The 14,657-nt window shown below is 47.8% G+C and overlaps 1 protein-coding gene across 10 annotated transcripts, besides 2 other annotated features; it reads right to left on the reverse strand.

Moving 5' to 3' along the window:
• Positions 947 to 13,765, reverse strand: ING4 (inhibitor of growth family member 4). Of its 10 annotated transcripts, none has more exons than NM_001127584.2 (8): positions 13,711 to 13,765; positions 7,373 to 7,444; positions 3,876 to 4,042; positions 3,591 to 3,696; positions 3,308 to 3,413; positions 2,917 to 3,064; positions 1,970 to 2,031; positions 947 to 1,880 (listed from the first exon to the last, which is right to left on the reverse strand). In NM_001127584.2, exons 1-8 carry the CDS (start codon positions 13,745 to 13,747, stop codon positions 1,841 to 1,843), a joined length of 738 nt encoding a protein of 245 aa, NP_001121056.1. In that variant the 5' UTR covers positions 13,748 to 13,765; the 3' UTR covers positions 947 to 1,840. The 10 variants fall into 10 exon arrangements, with proteins under 10 accessions (NP_001121056.1, NP_001121055.1, NP_057246.2 ...); NM_001127583.2 differs by having other exon boundaries at positions 3,308 to 3,416; NM_016162.4 differs by having other exon boundaries at positions 3,582 to 3,696.
• Positions 6,036 to 6,236: a silencer, noted in NCBI's record as "peak1551 fragment used in MPRA reporter construct". NCBI's record gives its function as "represses an SCP1 promoter by STARR-seq MPRAs in K562 erythroleukemia cells {active_cell/tissue: K562}" and the evidence as "EXISTENCE:reporter gene assay evidence [ECO:0000049][PMID:32103011]".
• Positions 13,736 to 13,795: an enhancer, noted in NCBI's record as "active region_5874". NCBI's record gives its function as "activates an Ori minimal core promoter by ATAC-STARR-seq in GM12878 lymphoblastoid cells {active_cell/tissue: GM12878}" and the evidence as "EXISTENCE:reporter gene assay evidence [ECO:0000049][PMID:35858748]".

Raw genomic sequence — 14,657 nt, forward strand, 5'->3', positions numbered from 1 at the left:
AAAGGGTGAAACCCAGTCTCTACTAAAAATACAAAAATTATGGCTGGTCTCAGCACAGTGCAATCTCTGCCTCCTGGGTTCAAGTGATTCTCCTGCCTCAACCTCCCAAGTAGCTAGGATTATAGGCACATGCCACCACATCTGGCTAATTTTTGTATTTTTAGTAGAGATGGGGTTTTAACATGTTGGCCAGACTGGCCTCGAACTCCGGACCTCAGGTGATCCACCCACCTCAACCTCCCAGAGTGCTGGGATTACAGGTGTGAGCCACCGCACCCAGCCTATTTATTTTTTTGAGACGGAGTCTCACTCTATCGCCCAGGCTGGAGTGCAGTGGTACAATCTCAGCTCACTGCAACCTCTGCCTCCCAGGTTCAAGCGATTCTCCTGCCTCACCCTCTCGAGTAGCTGGGATTACAGGCACCCATGACCACGCCCAGCTAATTTTTGTATTTTTGGCCGAGACCGGGTTTCGCCATGTTGGCCAGGCTAGTCTTGAACTCCTGACCTCAGGTGATCCACCTCCCTTGGCCTCCCAAAGTGTTGGGATTACAGGCGTGAGCTACCGGGCCTGGCCTACTTTAAAAAAAATTTTAAAAAATGAAAAAAAGAAATCAGCTTGGGTGCTGTGGCTCACGCCTGTAATCCCAGCACTTTGGGAGGCCAAGGCAGGCAGATCATGAGGTCAAGAGATGGAGACCATCCTGGCCAACACGGTGAAACCCTGTCTCTACTAAAAATACAAAATTAGCTGGGCGTGGTAGCATGTGCCTGTAGTCCCAGCTACTTGTAAGACTGAGGCAGGAGAATCACTTGAACCCGGAGGCGGAGACTGCAGTGAGCCAAGATCACGCCACTGCACTCCAGCCTGGCAACAGAGTGAGACTTCGCCTCAAAGGAAAAAAAAAAAGAAGTCAAGCTAATGTATAGTATAGCAGTACGTATGTATAGCACAAATACATCATTTATTGGAAATTAAGTGAAAGATGTTTTATGGAGAAAAGATGCATGATTTACAAAGTTTTGGAGACCCCCTGGTCTGAGGCCTACCCTCCAGCACCTCTGTCTTTCCCAAGTTGAGAACTTACAAGTTCTCGGACAGAGGCACCACTCTGGTTTCATGTCGTGTCCTAATTCTGGCATGCCATCCTCTCACATTGCATCCAACCCAGAGGACGCAAAATGAATGCTCAGCATGTTTACTAAAACAGTGTCTCTACAATAAACACAGCAGGCCAACATGTATAGCTTTTATTTACCTACCCAAGTTCCTTTTACATGTGAGTTATCTGCATTCCACCTTGCCCCCTCTCCCAGGATGAATCCTCTTGGCACAGAGGAAGGGGTGCCCCTTCAACTAGGGCCAGAGCCTAGATGACCTGGTGGATCCCCCACCATGAAAAAAGCAGGAAGGGAATGGAGAAGAAAAGTGTTGATCACACCTAGCCCTCACCACAGGAGGGGGAATGAAGAGGTCTGGGGGACTGCCCCCATGCTATGCCCCAGTCCTTAAATACAAAGCAAGGAGAATGAAAAGGACCCTCCCTCTGAAATACAGCACCGACCTCAGCATGGAGGCAAAAGGACAGTGGGCAAGACCACGTCCCTCCGAAGGGAGAGGGCTGAAGGAGAGCACATACCGTTAGTGGCTGCGGCACCCCTCCCTACCAGGGTCTGATGCAGCCTCAGCACCGGGAGTGGGGAGAGGGGAGGAGAAGGGATGACAGCACTGTGCCATCCACTCCTCCCTGAACCCCTGGCCCCAGCACAGGCATTCCTCTGCCCACTAGCCCAAGTCAGGGGATGTGGAAGAAACTGTGTTGGAATCCAAGGCCCTTATCTATTTCTTCTTCCGTTCTTGGGAGCAGCGTGGGCAAAACCTGAAACAGAGAAGGGGAGAGAAAAGTGAGTGAAAGGGAGAATGCCCTTGACCACTCAACTTAGGGACCCTCCAACTCCTGCCACTTACCATTTCCCCCGAGGCTTGGTTGTCAGCCCCACACAGGCAAAATGGAACCACTCAATGGAACACTGGAAGAGGAAGAAAGAAGTAGTCAGGGGCCAGGAAGGGCCAGAGGAAGGAGAGAAAGCCCCTCCAGATTCCTTAGGAACATCCTGTCCTTTACTCCATCCTTTTGGAGAATTCTTGGAAGTCCCAAGGCCAACCAGTTCCCACCATCTTCCTTCTATTCTTTTTTTCTTTTTGAGGCAGAGTCTCACTCTGTTGCCCAGGCTGGAATGCAATGACATGATCTCAGCTCACTGCAACCCCCGCCTCCCGAGTTCAAGCTATTCTCCTGCCTCAGCCTCCCAAGCAGCTGAGATTACAGGCACAGGCTATCATGCCTGGCTAATTTTTGTATTTTTAGTGGAGACGGGGTTTCACCGTGTTGGCCAGGCCAGTCTCGAACTCCTGATCTCAAGTGATCTGCTCACCTTGGCCTCCCAAAGTGCTGGGATTACAGGCGTGAGCCACAGCGCCAGGCTTTCAGGCTTTTTTTTTTTTTTTTTTTTTGAGACAGAGTCTTGCTCTTGTCGCCCAGGTTAGAGTGTGGTGGCGTGATCTCAGCTCACTGCAACCTCTGCCTCCTAGGTTCAAGCAATTCTCCTGCCTCTCGCCTCAGCCTCCCGAGTAGCTGGGATGACAGTCGTGTGCCACTATGCTCAGCTAATTTTTGTATTTTTAGTAGAGAAGGGGTTACACTATGTTGGCCAGGCTGGTCTCAAACTCCTGACCTCACGTGATCTGCCCGCCTCAGCCTCCCAAAGTGCTGGGATTTCAGGCAAGAGCTACTACGTCCAGCCCATCTTTCTTCTATTCTGAAGTCCCAGTACTCAACTGTGGGATTTTCCCTCTTGTACCCACTCCCTTCATGCCCCTCACAACCCCCCATCCTAAGGCAAAATGTTTCTCACATCAGGGTTGTCACAGCCAATCATCTCTCCATAGGAGACCTGGTGACAAAGGCAATAGGTGGGTTCGTTGGGATCCACAGGCATATCCAACACATCAGAGGGGTGGACACTGCCAAAGGTCACTGAGGGCATCCCATACTCAGGACTTCTGCATGCCAAGAGGAAGAGAAAGTGTCATCTACAGGAAGGGAAGCTAAAGCCTGAGGCTTTCAGAGGTGGCAGGAGATCCTGGTAGGGCAAATGATTTGTGGCTTCTCCAGCAGATACCAAAATGATAAGAAGAGTTCTTGGCGCAGACATATAGAAAGCGGCAGGGGGCGGTGCAGGCTGGGAGTGGGGCACCGGGAGAGAAGAGGATGTCATCCGGCAAAGGGCTCCCTGAATCACTCACGTGCGCACGAGCTTTAACTTCTTCTGGGCAGTCTTGGGGGCTTCTTCATCCGAGTTTTTCCCTTTGGAACGAGCACGAGCAGCTTTCTTCTCCTTTTGAGTCCGGCCTTCTAGGGAAGAGGGAGAAAGCCAGAAGGCAGGGAGACAGAAAGATGGGTTAAGTCCTCTTCTCTCCCCCTTTCCAACCTGGTGCCAAACTTCCCACCAGATGAAGAGCTGACTTCTTCTCCCTTTCAGTCCTCGCCCCACCTCTCACAGCCCCGCCCCCTCCTCACTCTTTTTGCCTTTGCTGGAAGAGCTGTCATAGTCACTTGACTCAATCTGTTTCTCCTTGAGATCAGCCTCAAAACGGGCCAGGTCTGTGTCCAGCCGCCGAATGTGTTTGTCCACCTGGGTGGAAAGGAAGGAGAAAGGAGAGGTACAAAACTATCTCCAATTAAAGAAAATAGGTTAAGGCAGAGTTTATGGATCTCACAGACCCCAAACAGATCCCAACACAGTTGAAGGAGGGGTCTAAGACCCTGAGGATTAGATGGGAAGTAGGTGGGGAGCCATGAACAGGGCCATACCATCTCATAGGTCTGCATGGCAAGCTGCACCTTGTCGTCACCAAATTCCTTGCACTTGCCATAGGCTTCCTGGATCTGTTTGAGAAGGGCCAATTTTTCCTCGGAGCTCAGGCTGCGGGCACTACTCATATACTCAGTGGCCAACTTGTCAATTTCAGCCTTCAGGTCTACAACAGAGACAGAGGCCTGGTCACAATGGCCCCTGAGTGGCTAGGTGAAACACATTTCTTCCTTTTGTTCTTTGGACCTTTTCCATTGATTAGCATAACCTTCCAACTAAAAAGTACTGAATGTTCAGAGGTACTGTGCCATGCACTCAAGTAATGGAACATACTGACAATATTTGCTTTAAAGGTCCTTTCAAGGTGCTGAAAACATTGCTATCATAGTTGGAATTTAAATTACTGAAACACAGCAAGGGATCCTTTGCACACCACATTAATATGAAGTGTATTTTTGTCCATGTTTGAAGATGCTTCTTTGAAGGGCTTGCTGCTTCTTGAATTTTGTCTCAAAAGCCATTGTTTCCTTCTCAAAAACATCCCACAGCAGTTGTCTGCCGCAAATCAGGCTGAGTCATCTGCTGTTGCTGGTTTCCAAGTCTGTACATCAATATCATACATTTCAAAATTATTAGTATTTTTTCTTTTTGACACAGGGTCTCACTTTGTCGCCCAGGCTGGAGTGCAGTGGCACAATCATGGCTCACTGCAGCCTCAACTTCCTGAGCTCTGGTGATCCTCCCATCTCAGGCACCACCACGCCTGGCTAATTTTTTCTATTTTTTTGTAGAGACAGGCTTTTTCCACGTTACCCAGGCTGGTCTCGAACTCCTGGGTCAAGCAATCTGCCTGCTTCAGCCTCCCAAAGTGCTGGGATTATTGGGGGTGAGCTACCATGCCTGGCCTAATCTATTTATTTTTAGAGGCAGGCGCAGGTTCTCTCTTATGTTTGTTGCCTAGGCTGACCTCCAACTCCTGTCCTCAAGTGATTCTATCTTTTCGCCTCCTGAGTAGTTGAGTATATCACACAATTTAAAATTAGACCTTACTCCAACATCCATGTAACAATTCTGCTTATCTTACTGCTCACTCTATTTTTCTTTTTTTTTTTTTTTGAGACAGGGTCTCACTCTATTGCCCAGGTTGGATGGAGTGCAGTGGCATGATCATGGATCACACTGCAGCCTCAACCTCTGAGCTCAAATGATCTCCCATTTCAGCCTCTGGAGTAGCTGGGACCACAGGCACATGCCACTACACCCTGATAATTTTTTTAAAAAAATTATTTCTAGAGATGAGGTCTCACTATATTGCCCAGGCTGGTCTTGAACTCCTGGTCAAATGATCCACCTGCCTCAGCCTCCCAAAGTGTTGGGATTCCAGGTGTGAGCCACTGCAGCCAGGCTGCCCATCCTATTTGGCTCATCATTGCAACTTCTTTCATTTTCCATTACTTCTTTTTTTCCTGTTTGTCCATCCTAGATATTGCTCCAAACACGTTTTTTTGTTTTGAGACGGAGTCACGCTCTGTTGCCCAGGCTGGTGTGCAGTGGCACGATCTTGGCTCACCTCAACCTCTGCCTCGTGGGTTCAAGGGATTCTCGTGCCTCAGTCTCCCAAGTAGCTGGGACTACAGGTGTGCGCCACCACATCTGGCTAATTTTTGCATTTTTAGTAGAGATGTGGTTTCACCATGTTGGCCAGGCTGGTCTCGAAGTTCTGATCTCAAGTGATCTGCCCGCCTCGGCCTCCCAAAGTACTGGGATTACAGACATGAGCCACGGCACCCGGTCTCCCAGATGTTTTATTTTATTTTATTTATTTTTTTTTGAGACCAAGTCTCACTGTGTTGCCCAGGCTGGAGTGCAGTAGTGTGATTTCAGCTCACTGCAACCTCCACCTCCCAGGTTCAAGCGATTCTCCTGCATCAGCCTCCTGAGTAGCTGGGATTACTGGCATGCGCCACCACACCCGACTAATTTTTGTATTTTTAGCAGAGACAGGGTTTCACCATATGGGCCAGGCTGATCTCAAACTCCTTATCTCAGGAGACTCACCCGCCTCTGCCTCCCAAAGTGCTGGGATTACAGGCGTAAGCCACCGCACCCGGCCCCAAATGTTTTAATATTGGAAGAATGGTAATGTCCCAGGACATTGAGACTATAGATGTTTACTAATATTTGGAAGGGCTCATAAATATGTCAGTAGTAAGAGACAAGTCTGACTCTAACATAGTGCAGCAACAGATAACCAGGAGGATCTGTGAAGACACTGTTTATACTCCACTTCATTCCAGGCTCTTGGAAGAAGCTGAAAAAGCATATAGTTCCATAATCTCCAACTGTCTTTCCATGCATGAACTCAAGAGTTACAACTGTATTACAAAAAAAGCAATCTGGTTCTCACCATTCGGCAGGCAGTTCTCAGGGAACTGTGTCCAGGGTTTTTGATGATGTTCACCTTTTCATGTGTAAACTCAGAGTAACTTAAGACACAGCTTCATGTATCTCAAAACCAGTCTGTTACATCCTTGAACATGGCTACATAGAATGAAGACAAGACTACAGATCCTTCAGTGGGTATGGGAATAGCTCCAACAGACATCTTTGAAGAAACCAAGTGAATGCCCCAATGCAGCCAAATTTGCTCAATGTTCCAGGCTGGAGATGGTATCTAATGCTTCTGTAAGTGTGAACGGTATAGAGATCCCATTGTCAATTACTGCTTTTTTTTCTTTCCTCTTTCTTTTTTCTTTCTCTTTTTAAGGACTTCTCATATAGCAAACCTCCCATCTACCAACATATGTTGCAGTCTAAAGTCACACTGGGAATTTGTGACAGTAACATTAACAATGAGAGAAGTAGAAACATTCTAGTCATCCTATAAATATATCAAACGTGGAGAGCAGAAATGACTCGAGTTGACTTTCTTTAATTCTTCTTTTTTTTTTTTTTTGAGACAGAGTCTTGCTCTGTTGCCTAGGCTGGAGTGCAGTGACATGTGGCATGATTTGGGCTCACTACAACCTCCACCTCCCAGGTTCAAACGATTCTCACGTCTCAGCCTCCCAAGTAGCTGGGATTACTGGTGCGTGCCACCACACCTGGCTAGTTTTTGTATTTTTAGTAGAGATGGGGTTTCACCATGTGGCCAGGCTGATCTCAAACTCCTGGCCTCAAGTTACCTGCCCGCCTAGGCCTCCCAAAGTGCTGGGATTACAGGTGTGAGCCAGCCTGGCTAATTATTCTCCAGGAAGACATAAAGAACACAGCATCTTTGAATTCTTGAGGCGTTTTCACAATACTCTATTTGTTATGAAAAAGCTGACACAGAAATGAGGATCATTATCCTGTTTTAAGAATTCCAAGAGCGTAAAAAAGGAGCGAGAGAAGCCACAGTTCTCCAGATCATACCAGATGATACGGTAACATCAAGTAGAAAAATAAATGATTACACACACTCATTAGATACAAAAACTTTTTACTCTATACATACCCTCTGTTCTTTGGTCTAGGTCCCTCATGAGCTGAAAGTTTCTCTGTAATTCAAAGGGAAGGTTTTCAATACCTAGGGAAGAGAGAGAAACAATCACAGGACTGACTATGCATAGGCCTTACAGCTCCTTTTAAAGTGCAGTTCAGGCCGGACATGGTGGCTCACGCCTGCAATCCCAGCACTTTGGGAGGCCAAGGGGGTGGATCACTCAAGGCCAGGAGTTCAAGACCAGCCTGGCCAACATGGCGAGACCTCCATCTCTATTAAAAATATGAAAATTAGCCTAGTGTGACGGTGGGCATCTCTAATCCCAGCTACTTGGGAGGCTGAGGCATGAGAATCACTTGAATCCAGGAGGCAGAGGTTGCAGTGAGCCGTGATTGAGCCACTGCACTCCAGCCTGGGCAATAGAGCAAGTCCCTGTCTCAAAAACAAACAAATGGCCAGGCATGGTGGCTCACACCTGTAATCCCAGCACTTTGGGAGGCCGAGGAGAGCAGATCACGAGGTCAGGAGATTGAGACCATCCTGGCTAACATGGTGAAACCCCGTCTCTACTAAAAATACAAAAAATTAGCCAGGTGCGATGGCGGGCGCCTGTACTCCCAGCTACTCAGGAGGCTGAGGCAGGAGAATGGCATGAACCTGGGAGGCGGAGTTTGCAGTGAGCCGAGATCGCACCACTGCACTCCAGCCTGGGCGACACAGTGAGACTCCATCTCAAACAAACAAACAAACAAACAAAAAATAAAGTGCAGCTCAGTTTTCCTTCCTCTGAACCTCTGGATTTATCTGTGACAGGATGGATCAGTTCTCTCATGACAGGCCATGCTTAACTCTTTCTCTACAAAACCTTTCCATTTCTGCATGGCTATCCCACCCTTTTCGCCTTCAGTGACCTTCCTTTATAAATAAGCTCTTCCCGTCAGGTGTGGTGGCTCAAGCCTGTAATCCCAGCACTTTGGGAGGTTGAGGCGGGTGGATCACGAGGTCAGGAGTTCGAGACCAGCCTGGCCAACATGGTGAAAGCCTGTTTCTACTAAAAATATAAAAATTAGCCAGGTGTGGTGGCACGTACCTGTAATCCCAGCTATTCAGGAGGCTGAGGCAGGAGAATCACTTGAACCTGGGAGGCAGAGGTTGCAGTGAGCCAAGACTGCACTACTGCACTCCAGCCTGGTGACAGAGCGAGACTCTGTCTCCAAAAAAAAAAAAAAAAGCTCTTCCCTTTCTTTTCCTTTTTTGTTTTTTGAGACGGAGTCTGGCTCTGTTGCCCAGGCTGGAGTGCAGTGGCACGATCTTGGCTCACTGCAGCCTCCACCTCCTGGGTTCAAGTGATTCTCCTGCCTCAGCCTCTGGAGTAGCTGGGACCACAGGCGCGCGCCACCACACCCGACTAATTTTTGTATTTTTAGTAGACACAGGGTTTCACCATTTTGGCCAGACTGGTCTTGAACTCCTGGCCTCAGGTGATCCGCCCGCCTTGATCTCCCAAAGTGCTGGGATTACTGGCATGAGCCACTAAGACGGGCCCCTTTCTTTTATTTTCCATCTCTGCCTCCAAGCTCTTTGTCCTCAAATTACAAATAGTCTCCTGGTATCCTCTATTATACACATAACACTTCCAATCTACTTCCATATAGTAGCCAGAATGTCCTTTTTAAAAAATGCAAACCTGGCCAGGCACGGTGGCTCATGCCTGTAATCCCAGCACTTTGGGAGGCCCAGGTGGGCGCATCAGCTGAGCTGAGGAGTTCAAGACCAGCCTGGGCAACATGGTGAAACTCTGTCTCTACCAAAAATACAAAAACTTAGCCAGGCTTGGTGCACATGCCTGTAATCCCAGCTACTTGGGAGGCTGGGGCACAAAAATCCCTTGAACCTGGGAGGTGGACATTTCAGTGAGCCGAGATCACGCCAATGCACTCCAGCCTGGATGACAGAGCAAGACACTGACTCAAAAAAACAAAAACAAAAACAAACACAAAAATAAAAAATGCAAACCTAATCAAGTCACTCTCCCGCTTATAACCTTCTGGTCACTTCCTACTGCTCTGAAGATGTTCTGCGCTTTCTGGCCCTTGCTTACCTCACACCAGCCTGAACTCATGTCAGTCTCCCTTTGTGCTCTGCTTTGCCCATACTGGCCTCCTCGCACTGCCTCAAACTGGCCTGTGCTCCTCCTGCCATTTGGCTTTCCACATGCTGTTCTCTCTAGTTGGAATGCACCGCTCGCTTTTCCTCATCCCATCCACCCCATCCCTCTTGGCCTATTAAATTCCTGTTCGTTCTTCCAAAGTTCAGCTCAAACTCAACTTTCCCAGACTCTGTTAACTGCCCTCGATCTATGTCAAGGTATTCTAGCCACCTTTTTAAAGCACTTATCCAACTGTAATTAAATAAATGTGTAATTAGTTGGCTGGGTGCGGTGGCCCATGCCTGTAATCCAGCACTCTGGAAGGCAGGTGGATCACTCAAGGCCAGGAGTTCAAGACCAGCCTTGGCAGCCTGGCAAAACCCCATCTCTACTAAAAATACAAAAATTAGGGCCAGGCACGGTGGCTCATGCCTGTAATTCTAGCACTTTGGGAGGCCGAGGCGGGTGGCTCACTTGAAGCCAGGAGTTCAAGACCAGCCTGGCCAACATGGTGAAACCTGTAATCCCAGATACTTGGGAGGCTGAGGCACAAGAATTGCTTAAATCCGGGAGGTGGAGGTTGCAGTGAGCTGAGATCGCACCACTGCACTTCAGCCTGGGTGACAGAGTGCGACTCCATCTCAAAAACAAAACAAAACAAAAATTAGGCCAGGCGCGGTGGCTCACACCTGTAATCCCGGCACTTTGGGTGGCCGAGGAGAGCAGATTACGAGGTCAGGAGATTGAGACCATCCTGGCTAACATGGTGAAACCCCGTCTCTACTAAAAATACAAAAAAATTAGCTGGCCGTGGTGGCGGGCGCCTGTAGTCCCAGCTACTCGGGAGGCTGAGGCAGGAGAGTGGCGTGCATCCAGGAGGTGGAGCTTTCAGTGAGCCGAGATCGCTCCACTGCACTCCAGCCTGGGCGACAGAGCGAGACTCTGTCTCAAAAAAAAAAAAAAAAAATAGATGGGCATGGTGGCCTGTGGCTGTAGTTCCAGTTACTCAAGAGACTGAGGCAGGACAATTGCTTGAACCAGGGAGGTAGAGGTTGCAGCCCGGGCAAAAGAGCAAGACTGTTTCAAAAAACAAAAAAATTAAAAAAAATAATGTGTAATTAGTTATTTGGTATCTGTCTCCCCAGGCCGAACATGGCTATCATATTCTCTCCTGTTTCCATAGTGTTTAGAATTATGACTTGCAAAGAGCAGGTACTCAGTAAATACTTGAATAAATGCATGAATATTTGTCACCCCAGTACAAGAGAAATCTCTTGCCAAGACTCCACCTAAAACTTTAAAAATGCCTCTACTTGCTGGGCACAGTGGCTCACGCCTGTAATCCCAGCATTCTGGGAGGCCAAGGCAGGTAGATCGCTTGATCTCAGGAGTCTGAGACCAGCCTGGGCAATATGGCCAGATCCTGTCTCTATAAAAATTAAATATATATATAAAAAATAAAAGGCCTGGTACGGTGGCTCATGCCTGTAATCCCAGCACTCTGGGAGGCCAAGGTGGGTGGATCACCTGAGGTTGGGAGTTTGAGACCAGCCTGGCCAACACAGTGAAACCTCATCTCTACTAAAAATACAAAAATTAGCTGGGTATGGTGGCGGGCACTGTAATCCTAGCTACTCAAGAGGCTGAGGCAGGAGAATCACTTGAACCCGGGAGGCAGAGGTTGCAGTGGGCCAAGATCGCACCATTGCGCTCCAGCCTGGGTGACAGAGTGAGACTCTGTCTCAAAAACAAACAAACAAACAGAAAAACTAAAATAAAATAAATAAAAAAAAATAAAATGCCTCTACTGTTTAAACCTACAACTTCAGGTCTGCTACCACCAGTTCACAAGACTGAGTCACTGGTGATTTACCAAATCTAATGGTGTTATTAAGCCTATCCTAAAAAATATCTCTGCAGCAGTTGGCATGATCTTTTCTCCGCTGAGTAACTTTCTTTTCTTTTCTTTTGAGGTGTAGTGTCGCTCTTGTCGCCCAGGCTGGAGTGCAATGGCGCAATCTCAGGTTCAAGGAATTCTTGTGCCTCAGCCTCCCAAGTAGCTGGGATTACAGGCGTCTGCCACCACGCCCAGCTAATTTTTGTATTTTTAGTAGAGACGGGGTTTCACTATGTTAGCCAGGCTGGTCTTGGAACTCCTGACCTAAGGCGATCCACCCATCTCAGCCTCCCAATGTGCTAGGATTATAGGCGTGAGCCACCGCTCCCAGCCTTTTTGTTTTTGTTTTTTTTTTGAGGCGGAGTCTCACTCTGTTGCCCAGGCTGGAGTGCAGTGGCATGATCTCGGCCCACTGCAACCTCCACCTCCCAGGTTCAAGCGATTCTCCTGCCTTAGCCTCCTAAGTAGCTGGGACTACAGGGGCACACCACCACACCTGGCTATTTTTTTTATTTTTAGTAGAGACGGGGTTTCACCATGTTAGCCAGGCTGGTCTCGATCTCCTGACCTCATGATCCGCCTGCCTCAGCCTCCCAAAGTGTTGGGATTACAGGCATGAGCCACCGTGCCTGGCCACCAGCCTTTGTTTTTTTTTTTTTTTTTTTTTTTGAGAGGGACACGGAGTCTTTCTCTGTCACCCAGGCTGGAGTGCAGTGGTATGTATGATCTTAGCTCACTGCAATCTTCACCTGCTGGGTTCAAGTGATTCTCCTGACTCAGCCTCCCAAGTAGCTGGGATTACAGTCACATGCCACCATGCCCAGCTAATTTTTTTTTTTTTTTAAAGTAGAGACTGGGCTTCACCATGTTGGACAGGGTGATCTCAAACTCCTGACCTCAAGTGATCTGCCCGCCTTGGCCTCCCAAAGTGCTGAGATTACAGGCATGAGCTACTGTGCCCAGCCTGTCTACCTCACTTTCTAAGCAGGAAGAAGCCACCTTAGATTCTTCCTTCTCTCTCAACCACTCAGTCATTCAGTCAGTCCTTTCATATTTAACTCCTAAATACTTCTGTAACTCCCTAAAATCAGGTTCTTATCTCTGTCCTGGAATGTTATCACTAATTGATCTCTGTTATCAACAATATCATGCTCCAATTTACCATATATTAGTCATTTTCCTCTATAAAAATCATACTCTACTTTAAAATGCAAACTTCTTCGTTTGGCTTAAAAGACCTTGTCCAATCTAGCCTCAGCCTCTTTCTCCAGTCTCCTTTCTCAATTTCTTACCTTAGATTCATAAATATCAAATACGCTGACCTCTGAGTCATAAATATCAAACACCCTTGACCTTGCCACAAACCCATCACAGTACCTTTGCGGATGCTTTCCCCAACCTGGAATTCCTTTTTTCTCTCCTCACTGGCAAATAACCTTCAAGACCCTATTCAAACATCACCTCCGCTGTAAAGCTTTTCCTACATCCCCAGGTAATTACCCCCCTTTTCTCCAGGGTTGCCTACCAAGTGTCCTTTTTAATGTATTTCCATTATCTCACTTGTCACAGTGTTTTATAATTATTTGCAGAATCTGTTTCCTACTAGATCGTGAGCTTCTTGAGGGCAGGAGCCTTGTCTTACTCATTTTTCTATCCCTAGTGCCTGCCATTATGTCTGACCCATAGCAGGACCTCAATAAATATTTGTTGAATAAATGACTCCGGGCCCTAAAACAAATGTAAGCGCACAGAGCAATAGGCTTTCTGCAGGGGTGGTTTACATAAATCGCATAAACACCAGATTTTCATTTGATGGGAATTAGATCTTTACTCCATGAAGAGAAGCGTTCTAGTTCATCATCTGACAGTGGTCACTCATCACCACCACTCTCAACCCCATGAGAAGCCACTTTTGAGGAAGAATGGAGTGGAGGAGAGGTCTTTACCGCTTCTCCAAATGGCAGTGTGTGATAACGATTCTGAACGACTATGGGGAAAAAAATCTACCGAGGCTGGAGACCCTGGAGAATGGGGGCAGCAACTATCTTCCTGGCCATGCACACTAGCCCTTCAAGACACGTCTCTAACCCCCACACCGCACCCCTCCCTCGTCTACACCCATCAGCGGGGCCTCGATCCTGCTGCCCCGCCCCCTCTTTCTCCGCACCCTCCAATATTTCCTGCCACAGAACCGCTTCATAATTGTGACCTTCTCGTCACTGGAACTTAAGGGCTACAGATCCTCTCATCCCTGATCCCCGCACCACTCTGCAGCCCCGACCCCCACCTCCAGCCTGCTCTTACTGTCCAGATAATGTTCCAAATACATCCCCGCAGCCATCTCGAAGCAAAACAAAGCAACTTCCGATCCGCCCCGGAAGTGACTGTAACGCGACAGGGGCCGAAGCCATTTTGCGGCTAAAGCCTTTCCGCCCTTAAAAGGAGAACTTCCGCCCTTAAAAGGAGAACTTCCGCCCTTAAAGGAGAACTTCCGCCCTTACTATATTACCGCCGGTACACATCCGCCCGACACTGAAACTTTTCCTTTTGCATGGTAGCCACGACCGCCCACAGTGAGGCGGCTGTAGCCCGCTTCCGCCCTTACAGACACCCCAGGACGCGACCGAGACAGGTATGACGTCACTGGAGGTCGCCATTTTGCATTCTCTAGCAAACTTTTTTCCCTCCAAAACGGGAATGTATGGTAATCCGTGCAGGGGTAACTGTTCACTTTAGGCTCATATTGCGTAAACATACCTTCTCAGCAACTGGAAGATCCAACTTTTTTTCCCTCTTTTGCAGAATGACTTTTTTCAAGCCAGTTAGTTTCTTAAGGAAGTTGGGGAAGAGTATCAGGCCTTGAGACATTTAAACCGTCTGAATTTCTATTCACTCACACAAACACCATCTCCCCCAGCATTATTTTTTTAACTTGAGAAAGATGATCACCTTTCTACTTATAAATACAAAGAATGACTCATAATAAAGCTATAATTCTGCACATCTTTTGTCAGAGCTCCTGTACGTTACACTAGAATACACTTTCACATATAAAATATTACTTCCTGCCTTGCCCTCTTGCTTTTTTTTTTTTTTTTTTGAGACAGAATTTTCACTCTTATTGCCCAGGCTGGAGTGCAATGGCGTGATCATGGCTCACCGCAACCTCCACCTCCCGGGTTCAAGTGATTCTTCTGTCTCAGCCTCCCGTGTAGCTGGGATTACAGGTATGCACCATCACGCCAGACTAA

The sequence above is a fragment of the Homo sapiens genome, chromosome 12 (genome assembly GCF_000001405.40).
Source record: "Homo sapiens chromosome 12, GRCh38.p14 Primary Assembly".
NCBI classification, from domain to species: domain Eukaryota; kingdom Metazoa; phylum Chordata; class Mammalia; order Primates; family Hominidae; genus Homo; species Homo sapiens.